Source organism: Homo sapiens, chromosome X (assembly GCF_000001405.40).
Source record: "Homo sapiens chromosome X, GRCh38.p14 Primary Assembly".
In the NCBI taxonomy this organism is placed as follows: domain Eukaryota; kingdom Metazoa; phylum Chordata; class Mammalia; order Primates; family Hominidae; genus Homo; species Homo sapiens.
In genome coordinates, this window is record NC_000023.11 from 5627057 (window position 1) to 5641222 (window position 14166).

Here is a 14166-nt window from a genome sequence, read left to right on the forward strand (position 1 = left end):
GGGAATAACAGCATTTTACCTAATGTTGATTTAAAGAAAAATACCCTGACCCAGTGTTACTGTGAAATCTGGTGCTGGCATTTTGCAGCGGTTGGACATTGATAAATACAAATATGGTCAGAAGTATGCCCTAGGAGGATGACTATGGTGTTCAGGCTTGAAGAAGTTTGCAGGATGGTGTGGAGTGGGGAGAGATTTATGAAAAAAGACACACCAGCAGGCCATTGCCTTATGTCAATTTTGTCATCTTTGATGCATATGGTTTTCATTTATGGAGATGTCCAAATAATGGAATATTCTACTCAACCCTTCTTCCTAGTTACACAAGCACATGTGTGAAATAAGGGTCAATGCCAATACCCTGACCTCAGGGCATCCTTTCTGAACCTCCAGGAGCCTGGATTGCATCCTGTGTCAGTGGGTCAGGGGCTGTGGGCTACCCTAGAAAGAACAGGAGACAGCACAACCTCCCAGATTATCTGGTTCTCTGGCCAACAAAAATTCTCCACTTCCACATGAGCCCTTGGCAGCCAAGGGAAATGCATCTGGAGTTGGATGTTGTCATTATGCTTAAATTTATTTGTGATTATGAAGAGATAGGTTATAGTGGTATTTCTTCATGGGAGGGTGGAAGGAAAATATCTTGGGGCCCCAAATCTATAAGCTAAAGGGAAAATTCAAGCTGGGAACTGCTTAGGGCCAACCTGCCTCCCATTCTATTCAAATTCACCCCTGTGCTCACTGAGATAAATGCATATCAGATTGCCTCCTTTGGAGAGGCTCATCAGAAACTCAAAAGAATGCAATCATTTGTCTCTCACCTACCTGTGGCCTGGAAGATCCCTCCCGACTTTGAGTTGTCCCTCTTTTGCTTTGAGTTGCTCCACCTTCCTGGACCGAACCAATATTCATCTTACACATGTTGATTGACGTCTCTTGTCTCCCTAAAATGTATAAAACCAAGCTGTGCTCTGACCATCTTGGGCACATGTCATCAGGATCTCCTGAGGTATCACGGGTTTGTGTCCTCAACCTTGGCAAAATAAATGTTCTTAATTAACTGAGACCTGTCTCAAATTTTCAGGGTCAAAAGGAGTGACCTAAGGCACTTTACTTACCAATTTTTATTGTCATGAACTTTGAGTTCCATGAATTCACCTTAGCTTTGAATATGGTTTGGTATTAGAGAAGGACAACTTGTTCTCAATGCTTACTTATTAAAATGAATTGCCTACAATAAAAAAGGTGTTATATTTTCCCAGCCCTCTTGTCAAACCTGGTAGCAGTTTCACACTATGTTATTCATTTATTACAGACATGAAATACATTGGGATATCTGGCATGTCAAAACAGATAAGTTTTGGCCGGGCGCGGTGGCTCACGCCTGTAATCCCAGCACTTTGGGAGGCCAAGTCAGGCGGATCACAAGGTCAGGAGATCGAGACCATTCTGGCTAACACAGTGAAACCTCGTCTCTACTAAAAATACAAAAAATTAGCCGGGCATTGTGGCGGGCGCCTGTAGTCCCAGCTACTCGGGAGGCTGAGGCAGGAGAGTGGCGTGAACCCGGGAGGCAGAGCTTGCAGTGAGCCAGGATCACGCCACTGCACTCCAGCCTGGGCAACAGAGCAAGACTCTGTCTCAAAAAACAAAACAAAACAAACAAACAAACAAACAAAAACAGGTAAGTTTTACTGAGATATAATTTGCCAGTAGGAACTTTTGGGGGGTTGATGCAATTATTCCCTATCTTGATTTTAGTGGTGGTGATGTGATTACCCAGCCTTGTTAACTAACGTGGTAATAGATACACTTTGATCAAATAAATCCTAAAATTAATATCTGAGTGATGCACCACCAAGTCAACCTATGAAAAGGTTAACGGGCACAAATGCATCCTTTGACTGATGCTGCAAGCTGTTGGATTTCCACTATCCATGCTGTGCTGCTATGGTTAATACTAACCATGAAATGGTTAATACTACACATGCTATGCTGATATGGCTACCAGCGAGCCGGGAACGTCTCTTCTACTCACAAAGTGTTTTTGCTTATTTTTCCTCTTCATGACAAATGCAGGAAGTAGGAAAATTACTGCCTCCATTATGCAGAGAAGGAAAAGAAGTGATCTTTTAGACCTAAAATGCTCTTTCTCTCCTACATCTTTGGCAGTGTCAGGGGCTGGAGTGAATTAAAGACCATGGATTTTCATTATAATGATGGACTGCCTGAGCATCTCTGCTAATGTTTTACAGGCCTTCCTTACAGCACTTTGTTGTTGCCCTGAATTCTTGAGTTTCTATGCTCTCTCGAGGTTGTTATTGTTTCTCTGGGGTCATATCTCTGAAAATTAATATGGCAATGCAGAAAATATGATGTCAGTTACCTACAACTTATCGGAACAGTTTCACCTACGGCTTTGCACTCTTACTGTCTTTCAAGGATCTGATACCCTGAGGGGTACAGAGTGGGCAGGAAACCCTGACTGTTGAGTTTCAAGAGAAAGCTGGAATCAGGATCCAAATATGCCCAGGTAGGAGGTGTACTGTTCACCAGATAAGTTGATAAAATACAGGAAACCCTGGGTTAGTGAAATGGCTGTGTGCAACTTGGGCAAGTTTCTATGTATGCAACTTCCCAACTCTTGTTGATATGACTGACAGCAGAAGTCACCATTACCACAATTAATTTGGGAAAATAACAAAAGTTCAGCCTCATGCTTATTAAAACATAAAATTATTGTAGCTATACTTTTTTTTTTTTTTTTTTTGAGAAGGAGTCTTGCTCTGTCGCCCAGGCTGGAGTGCAATGGTGATATCTCGGCTCACTACAACCTCCGCCTCCTGGGTTCAAGTGATTCTCATGTCTCAGCTTCCTGAGTAGCTGGGGTTCCAGGTGCCTGCCACCACACCCAGCTAATTTTTGTATTTTTAGTAAAGATGGGGTTTCACCATGTTGGCCAGACTGGTCTTTAACTCCTGACCTCAAGTGATCCACCTGCCTGGCCTCCCAAAGTGCTGGGATTATAGGCTTGAGCCACCACGCCCGGCCTAGCTATACTTTTAAATGTTGCTTTAATTGAAGGTCATCATCACCTTCTAATTGGGGCAATCTGTCTCTTCTTACTTTGGTTTAAATTTGAGACATGCCACCTGTATAGTGGACAAAAACAGAGAGAGAGAGAGAAAAAAGACAAAGTAAGGTATCCAGATGCTAGCTGGCCAAGAGTTTATCTGTGTGTCCTGAATGAGTTACTTAGCTTTGCTTTAGCTTGGCTGTTCTGTGAAATAAGAAGTGAAATTGACCAGAAGTGCTTTCCTGAGGACTGCATTGGGAGAGGTCTTTGAAAGCACCTGGCCCATAATGGCATTTTGAACAATTTTCTTATTTTCCTTCCAAGTGGCACTGAAAATACTGAGTATTGTGGGGAAGAGGGTTTTATGGACATATTCCATTTAGAAAATCTTCATTTTACTTCTGTATTTTAACCTTTCCCCTATTCCTGTTTCTTTCTTGTTCTCATTTTCCTCTTTCATACAGGCTGTTACTTCTTAGTCAACATCTACAGATCTTATCCTTTGCACTGTTTGTGGGGCTTACTTAGCCTTTAGGGTGTCATTGACTGCCCTCTGGAAAACCACAAATGCTAATTAAATTTCTTGTGGAAATGTCATGTATCTTGCATAGCTTTTATTCTACCTAAACTAATTTGCAATAATTTGTTCTTATCAACAGCCCTGTTAATATTTCTAGGTGTCTACTGTGTAATGAACAAAGCCTGCTTCAGGGTCAAAAAAAAAAAAAACTAAGTAAAGAAAGAATCATATGAAACTTTCCTATTTGCAGATGTTTCGATTGCTGCAAAATGTGTGGGATATTATGCCTCAGTGTTGTTAGAAAATATGTTTATTTAATAAGTGTAAGTTGGGTTATGCTTTAGGGGACTTAGACGATGGAGATCAGGTTTAATTCTTAAAGGGCTTGCTTTAAGAGTTAAACTAGGTCTCCGTCATCTTTTATAAGTCGCCTAAAGTAGATTATTTAGGAATTGGGGCTTAAAATTGTTCTTTGATTATTTCACCTAAACAGAGTTCTTCATACAAAATATCCCATTATTTTACAATTAATGCATGAGGAAGCTTGTCAATTTATAAACACCCAAGTCAACACATTATTATATAGAAATAAACTATAATCTCCATGGCTATCAGTGGTATGAAACGTGCACAGGAGTGCCCTATGTCCAGAGAAATGGAAGAGGTTAAGGAATTTTCTGTTTGAAGGCCAAAACATGTTAACAGAGAGATAGCCAAAATTTCTCCCTCCGTTTAATGCCACATCTGTGGCATTCTTTAAAGCTGAAGGGGTTATTTTGATTGTGTAGGGTTCTATTTGTTAGGGAGAGTACTAGGCTATGGGTATTGCCTTTGAGACAAATTATAAATTTTGGTTGAAAGGCGTCCTACATTTCAGACAAATCAACTTCAGCTTGGATTTTTTTTTTGTTTGAACACAATGCCCATTTGTGTTCAAACAAAAGAAAATCAAAAGTCTCAAAATATATAACCACTGAATTTACCCTAAGGGGGGAAACAAGCAATTCATTTATTTCAAGCACTTTTAGGTGCTACTAAATTAAATGTGCTTTGACTTCATTAGGAGTCAATTTATTGCATATTGCTTCAGTGCAAGCATGTATGAACAGAAACCCTATAGATTATGGAAAGATGAACAGGATAGAATGCCTTATCTCCAGGGGCTTGAAAACCAAAGGGAATCACTCACATTTCCAAATAAGCCAATTTAATAAAATGTCTTCATCCTTGTTATCTTTGTGGTTTTCTTTCCTCTCTTCCATCTCTCTCTTTTTCCTAAATAGGATTTTCTGAAAGAAATTGATTTTGCATATGCCTGCTGCAAACCAGGCACTGCTTACATTCTTTGTCCATTTTCTTTATGTAAAAAGACAGGGCTTAGATGTCTGTCCCCTTCGTAGTCTGTTTTCTACACATCCCTGCTCCACATATTAAAACGTATGAGATATGAAGGATTACCAGCAGAGAATATCCAATCTGCCCTGAAAGCAGCCAATTAGCAACTCCCAGTCTGTGTTAATTGCTGCCACAGTCCTCCCTGGTTTCAATCAACACCTTAGGAAAGCAATCAAAGACCTACTGGGAAGGAAGGGCCGTGCTTTTGTTCACAGCCAACGTTTATTGACAAGATGCGACCTTTAACCGTTTGATACTCCTGACGAGGCTGCACAGTGCTCATTCCTGGAGAATTCCCCCCAAAACTGGAGAGATTGCCACAGACAGAAAGGTAAGGTGACGGGGGAAATAGCTTTGGGAGAACTGTCCAAGGTGCTACCTAGTAGCCTGTAGCTCTTGACTATGAGTTGTCCAGGTCTTTGGTGTTTTTTGAACAAAGAATTGAATAAAACGTACAAACAAAAGTAGCAGAGGAATGAAACGCAGAAATGAACCAGTGAAAGTAGGAATTTATTAAGTGAGAAAGTATTCTGCAGGGTGGGAGTGGGGCTGAGTACATGGCTCAGGGGCCCATTTACAAAGTTTTCTGGGCTTTAAGAACCCCGTTTGAGGTTCTTATCAACTATCTCTTATCTGGATGAAGAATTTGGTCTGTGGTTAATTAAAGGCTGAGGAGAACTGGCGCCATATGCAGTTAAAAAGATGGTCCCTGTTAGGTCCATGGCCAATCCAGGGCATGCTCCCTTTCCATCTGAGACATGGTGGAAGGGGGAAGTTTGCAACGAGCGTACCCTTTGATCCTTTGTTACTTGGTCTGGGGAGATGCGGTTTTTCACTTTTGGTTTAGCTTTAGGAAGTCTGTGTTAATTGGCCATAGGTTCACTGTCCCCAGACCCAGGAGTTTTCCTCTTGATTCAGTTTTGGGGAGTTAGTGTGAACTGGCCTTAGATTTCCTGTCTCCAGACCTTGGTGTTTTTTCTTTTAGGAAGTTAGTATAAATTGACCTCAGATTCCCTGTCCCCAGACTGTGGTGATTTTCCTTGTGTCAGTACAAATTGGCCTTAAGTTTCCTGCCACCAGGCCCTATTTTCCTGTCTCAGAGGCAGTATGGTTATTGCAACATAAGGTCTCAGTCATTTGCTTTCCTCATAAATGGTTTAAGACCCTGTGTGAAAAAGCATCCTTAATACAGAGAGAATGAGATAGAGCAAAGAGTGTTTGCATGGTTTATTTAGGAAGATTTTTTTCTTTGAATATTAGTTTCTTTCAGACATCATTATTAACACCCTATACATTTGGGCACTTCATGCAATGATACTCATCAGAAATGTTAGTATTCACTCCCACTGCCATCATCATCAACAGCACCATTTTATTTTACCATCATTTTCATCATTCATGCAGGAAGATCAGCATAGCATAGTGTTTAAGAGCGTGGGCATTGAAGACAACTCATTATTTACATTATTTCATGACTCTATAATGACAACGTGAAGTATTATGTACAATGCATATAGAAAATAGGAATGTCATTTCAAATCGGTCTGATCGAATCAGGGAATGTTGCGAGAGACTTCCCTGACAAAATGACACTAGAGTAGATATCTAAATTGCATGGCTAAGGATGCATAAGACTAAGAGGGGCAGAGAGGAAGCAATTGTTCTGGGTGCGATCAACCTTGGGCACATGTCATCAGGACTTCCTGAGGCTGTGTCATGGGTGCGTGTCCTCAACCTTGGCAGCATAAACTTTCTAAATTAACTGAGACCTGTCTCAGATTTTGGGAGTTCACAGCCATTAGCTCAGGCCATGACTTTGCAGAGTCAGCTTAAGGAGATCAATTCTAAGCTCAGAAATCTTGTGCATATAGTGGAGAGAGGTCACCTCCAGGGGTCTGCAGTTCTCTTCATTCAGGCAGCTCTGGGGTCCTATAGAGAAAGGCGGAGGGCACACTTGATGCGAGTAATGTATGCTAATTCTGAATTTCCAACAAGTTTTATGCATGATTTTATGTACACACCAAATCTAGGCATTACAAAATTGGGCACGTATCTATTTGGACATGTAAGTATAATAATATTATATATCATGATTTAATATATGCATATATGCATATTATACATAATACATATATCAATACATGTGAATATGTGTATTTTATGCAAATAGTATCATGCCAAATGCAAATTACATATCTTTTTGTTTTCTACTTAATAGCACATATTCCAGAGCCTCCCATATTGCTACACACAAAACTGGCTCACACTTTTTCTTGGATAATACCAAAATTTAGTTCATCCACCTTGCGTTAATTGGCATTTAGGGTATTGCCAGTTTTATGCCATTACAAATAATGTTGCAATAAATTAATACTAATAGTTCATTTCACACATGATCTGGTATAACAGGATGGATTCCTAGACATTGAAATTCCTGAATCAAAGGTAATAGATATTTCTAATTTAGAGAGGTATTATCAATTGTTCTTTTTGAAGATGGGCTGTCTCTGCTCTCATTATCAATATGTGGACAGCCTACTTCCAAATGAATTGATCTTCCTAATGTAACTCCAGTCTTAATGAACATGTTGAGGTTAACCCCATTTAAACGTATTCTCATCAAAGTAATACAGAAATAGGTCAGGTGTGGTGGCTCATGCCTATAAATACAGAACTTTGAGAGGCTGAGGTGGGAAGATCACTTGAGACCAGGAGTTCCAGACCAGCTTGGGCAAGATGGTGAGACCCCATAACTTTCCTTTAAAATAAAGTTAAAAACTAGCCAGCATGGTGGCACACACCTGTAGTCTCACCTACTTGGGAGGCTGAGGTGGGAGGATCCCTTGAGCCTGGGAGTTTGAGGCTGCAGTGAGCTGTCATTGTGCCACTGTAGTCCAGCCTAGGTGACACAGTGAGACTCTGTCTCAAAAACAAAAAAAAGTAATATGGAAAGTCATACTCTTTTAAATATAAAAAATATATATGTTTATGGTTATATATATATATGGTTTTATATGTATATATATGTATGATCTGGTTATGCTTTGTGTCACCACCCAAATCTCATCTTGAATTATAATCCCCATAATCCCCACGTCAAGGGAGAGAGCAGGTGTATAATGGGGGCGGTTCCCACACGCTGTTCTTGTGATAGTGAGTGAGTTCTCACAAGATCTGATGATGTTAGAAGGTGCCCTTCCTCCTTTGCTTGCCATTCTCCTTCTTGCCGCCTTGTGAAGAAGGTGCTTTGCTTCCCTTTGCCTTCCACCGTGAGTGTAAGTTTCCCGAGGCCTCCCCTGCTATGCTGAACTGTGAGTCAATTAAACGTCTTTCCTTCATGAATTACCCAGTCTTGGGCAGTTCTTTATAGCAGATGAAAATGGGCTAATATTATATCTATATGTATATATAATATTAAATATGTATTATTATATATATAAAAGTACAATGAAACCATGAAAGTCACTCTAAACTTTCTACCATTTCCACTGCCCTACTTTATGTACCATTTTGGTATCTTTTGTTTGTTCACTGGACACTGTAGTGTACATAGATTTCTTGTCAAGTGATATGAATAGACATCACTTCCTTACACACTTTGAAAAATTCCATGACACAGTTGTGCTGTAAGCGGTTTAACAATTTTCCCAGTGATGGGCTCTTAACTTGCTCACAATGTTTCCTTTAATTGATGACAAAAATAAAAATCTGTATACAATTGCAGTAAGAGCTATTGCAATAAAATCTGTGTACATATCATTTAGTCTAGCACTGCCATTAGAAATGTGAGCCGCATATGTAACCTTAAATTTTCAAGTAGTAACATTAAAATAATAAAAAAGAATGGGATAAATTAATTTTTAAAATATATTTTATGGAACCCAATGTATACAAAGTATTACTAGGTCAATATGTAATCAGTATAAAACATCATTAATGAAATAGTTTGTATTCTTTCTTTCCTACTAGAGTTTTGAAATTTGGTGTGTATTTTGATCTTAGAGCACATATCTGTTTGAAGCTGGTATATTTCAATGGCACATGGCTACATGCAGAACTTATTGCAATTATATACAGATTTTCATTTAAAGATAACCTACTGTCATCTTATTGCACCGTGACCCTCTGCACACCAGCCTGTGTGCATTTATTCTACACACATACTATATTCACGCTTTGCAATATGGAAGTACCCCTATTCCACAGGATAAATACTGAAAAACGGAAATCGTTTACCATACAGCATTTGCACTTTTAACACTGACATAATCCAGGGACCGCTAAGTCCAGATGTATGTTAAACTCGGTGTTCCCAGTATTCCCTGTTAATCAGAACACTTTATGAACCTATGGTAGGATGTTTTCAAGGGATAACCTCGGGCAAAGAATAGTGCTGAACATGACGCAAAAATATCCCCGGATGTAGCCACACTGAACCAATGCCCCGCTTCATCTGAGACATGGCCTTCTTGTGATGGCTGAAGGCTGCAACAGCTGTTGCATTTACTGTTAATTTAGACATTATGAAATTGGCCATTAAGATGTTATTAAAAATTTACTAAGGGAAAGCAGCCAGTGGTCACATATTCAGAGAAATACTAAATCCCTGCCACTCACCTATTGCCAAACTCTCCTTAAGTCTCTGATGACCTTCAGTAGTTTATAATTAATATTAAATAAGGCTTTCGGGTCACAGACATCCCATCTCATTTTAATCCATGAAGGAGAAACCACTGCAGGATACTCCCTTATGGGAAGATATTAAAAGTTACTTTATTTCACCTGAATAGAAAAACTGCAATTAAGCCCTTGGCCTTCAAGTGAGCAGAACTAATTAATTAGCTTGAAAGGGCATCTGAAACATCTGAGGAACCTTATAAAAGTCTCACCTTATTTGACATCTGCAAAGAGTGACATGCTTTAACTAAAGCAGTATGTTAAGGATGATAGTAAACTTAACCCATTTCTGAGCCATGCTTTTCACAGCAGTGGACATGACATAACTGGAGAATAGACTCTTCATGAAGAAGTTACATTTGTCAAATGTGATGCTTAAGGCATGAAAGAAAAGCACCTGTGATATAATTTGTTTGAGTCAGTGTCAATGCACTGATAAAACAATGTACAGTTACAAATATAGTCCGCTTTATGAAACATCTCTCCGTCTACCAGCAGGAAATGTTTTTTGGTTTATTTTAATTTACCAAAGAGTATTCATGTGATTACAGGCAGTGCAGAACAGAAAATGTTATATAAAGGTTTATAAGTTGTGGATATTAGTCAACAGTTCTTGGTAATAAAGATTGGTGCTTGGTAGCCTTGAGAATATGGTTAATTCCAGGGGGAGGTGAATATCTGTGTTGTGTTAGTTTAAAGGGAAAGACAAGTGAAGGAACACCATACAGGTTGGGGGATAGTATGGGATTTATCTGGGACAAAGAATTTCTTCAGCTGGGTTGTGACATACAAAAGGCAAAACCTGAAGGACACCTAAATTATTTTTTTAGTAAGAAAAAGGAATTTCTTATAAAACAGGTAGAAATGGATTTGGAATGTGAAAATAATACTGTTCTATCAGCAAAAGAATGGCCTCCCAAGGACAAAGAGATAAATGTCAAACAATTTTTAAAAATATATTTAGCAAAATAAATGAAAAATTATAAGGGCATACACTTTGAGCGTCATACAAGTAAGATATATGTGCACATAACCAGTGTTAACAAACTTAATAGCTTTTACAAAAGAAGTAATGAGAATAAGATAATATGCTTTTACTCTTTTTCATAGATGGCTCTAGCATATTTCTATGATTAAAAACCATAATTGAAATATGGATTGCTACAGTTATTTTAATCAAAAATGTAAAGCCCCATCTCAACTCAGTTAAATAAACCTTGAGTAACTGAAGAAACAACATATGCATAGAATTCATTCATTGGTAGTGTCTATGCCAAATGACTAATTAATTCAGATTTAATCAATGACAGATTTGTCATCATTGAAACAGGAGTTGGGTTGATGTTCATACACTTCTTTAAACAACTTGCTTGAAAAAGTAATAACACATTTCTGAGTACTTAAACCATCTTAGAATAGTAGAAACTAAAAAAGAAATCTCAACTAAGTCTCAAGTGCTAGTATGTTAATATTAAATCATATCTTCTACTTTCATAAACAGATTCTCCTAAGTGAACCTACAAGGAAATCCTTTAATGGCCTATACACAGTACTCTCTGCTCTTGGAAATAACTTGATAACAGGAAAAATTTTACAATTCATGTATCCTATTAATTCATAATGCCCTCTTTCAAATTGCCCAGATAATTTGTATTTCACTATGTTAAAACTCAATATTAACGTGTCTTAAAGTTATATTTGCCTTTTCTTTTGAGATGTTGTGGTAAGGATCAAAACAATGCCCAAGATTCATTCATTCATTCTCTCTCTCTCTCCTCTCTCTCTTGCTCTCTTTTACACCTTTAGATTACAGGCTGGTATTTTTAATTATCAATATGAGTGTGAATGATGTGTTTTAAGTAATTTGTCTCGCAGGCTCTAGAAAACATGGATTATTTAAAGGAAACCATGGCCCCACTTTTGCATTTCCAGAGTTACACCATTTTCTCCTTTGCAACGACTGTGTATTAAATGTTTCCAGCGGATTGCTGTCAGCTTGTGTTCTGTGATAAATCATGCCTGTGTTTCTATCTGTAGGTGTTAGCCGATGGAGCAGAAATAACACAATCGCAGCAAGGTCTGTGTCCTACACACCAGGAAGTGGCAATGGGAAGGCAGGTTGTTTTCTACAGAAAAGGCATCGTCTTACTACCCATAATTTTTCTCAATACTTGGGTCTAAATTCACAGTAGTAACAGTATGGAACTAGGGTGCCCCCAGAAAGCATACGAATCCACTCAAAATCATAGCAATTTTTACACTGTGTATAGCAATGAAGATACTAATGACTTTTGTCCTCTGTTCTCAGTGTGGAAAAATGCATTACACTACACGCTTTGAGTCTTCAAATGTGTACTCAAATAAAACCAGATGAGTACGTATCAATTAATCAACAGCAAATATACATTTCAGATCATGTACATAGAAGCTTGGCACTCAGGAGATAGCTAATGTTAATTGACATCTTACTTGTAACCAACTGTCTAGTCAGAGTTTGACATGCATCGATTCATTCAATCCTCACGCTATTCTGTAATAAGATATTGTTATGGACTTCATGTTTTTCCCCCACCAATTCATATATTGAAGTCCTTACCCACAAGGTGATCGTATTATGAGGTGGGGTTTTGGGGAGGTGATTAGGTCATCAGGGTGAAGGCTCCATGAATGAGTGCCCTTGTCCCTTCCACCATGTGAGGACACAGTGAGAAGGCGCCATCTAGGAACCAGGAAATGGGTCCTCAACAGACACTGAATCTGCCACACTTTGATTTTGGACTTCGAGCCTCCAGAACTGTGAGCAATAAATGTCTATTATATGTAAGTCGCCCTGTAAATGGTATTTGTGTTACAGCAGCCAGAACTAAGACAGATATTATTCCCATTTTTTTTTAGATCAGGAAATCTGTTGACTTTCTTAGATCAACAGTCAAGCAGGTGGGTGACCAGCTCTTCTAAGGGACATATTCCAGATCATCTCACCTTGACTCCTCTGGGTTTCCTCACTGCAGCACGTTTCCAAAAAGCAACATAAAATGAAAATGAGAGCATGATGCTAAGTGGGAAAAAAATAACAAACTTCTCAGAAGATTATATATGCTTCCCTTTGCATAACATCTTTATTTTATTTTATTTGGCAAATAATAATTATACATATTCATGGGTCACATAGTCATATTCTGATATACAGTGATCAGATCAGAGTAATTAGCGCATGCATTGTCTCAAACATTTTTTTTTGTTAGGAACATTTAATATCCTCCTTTCAGCTATATGAAACTGTATAACACATTATTGTTAACTGTAGTCACCTTCTAGGGCTATAGAACACTCGATCTTATTTCTCCTATGTAGTTGTAATTTTGCATCCTTTAACAAATATGTCCTTCCCCGCTTTCGCACTTCTCTTCCCAGCCTCCGGTATCTTCTGTTTACTTTTTGCTTCTATGATATCGGCTATTTTTTAGCATCCACATTTGAGTGAGAACATGCAGTGTTTGGCTTTCTGTTCCTGTCTTATTTCACTTAGCATAATGTCCTCCAGTTCCATCTGTGCTGCTGTGAATGACAGGAAAAGATTATAGACAGAACTGGCTAGTGGTTGCCAGGCATGAAGGACAGAGTGTGGGGACTGCTGAGATTACAATAATCCCCTTAGAGGGAGGTGTTTGTGGCCATGGAGTAGTTCTATATATTGGTGGTGGTAGAGATTACATAAATATATGCATGTAGTAAAACTCTCTCTCTCTCTCTCTCTAACACACACACACACACACAGACACACGTGTATATAAATTCTAAATAAAGTCTCTATATTGTATCAATGCCAATTTTCTAGTTGTGTTATTGTACTATAGTTATGCAGGATGCTACCATTGGGGGCAATGGAACAAAGAATACCTACAACCTCACTGAACTTTTGTCTTTTTTTTGTTTTTGCAACTTCCTGTGAATCCATAACTGTTTCAAAATAAAAAGTTTCCAAAAGTTTATGAGGGTTGCCTGATATCAACCCTCTTAAGTCCATGATGGTCTTTTACCCAGGATGGCAAACAAACAGGGCATGTGGAAATTACCCTTATAATTCATATTTGAAAGAAACTGTTCATTTTACTATCCGAGGTAAATAAGTTAGTCTTAAAAATTAAAAATAGAGGCCAGGCGTGGTGGCTCATGCCTGTAATCCCAGCACTTTGGGAGGCTGAAGTGGGCGGACCACCTGAGGTCAGGAGTTCAAGACCAGCCTAGCCAACATGGGGAAACCCCATCTCCAATAAAAATACAAAAATTAGCTGGGTGTGGTGGCAGGCGACTGTAATCCCAGCTACTCGGGAGGTTGAGGCAGGAGAATTGCTTGAACCCGGGAGGCAGAGGTTGCAGTGAGCTGAGATCACACCACTGCACTCCAGCCTGGGTAACAGAGCAAGACTCGATCTGAGAAAAATAAAAAGAAAGAAAGAAATTAAAAATAGAGACAAAAATCCTCCACTCCTAAGCT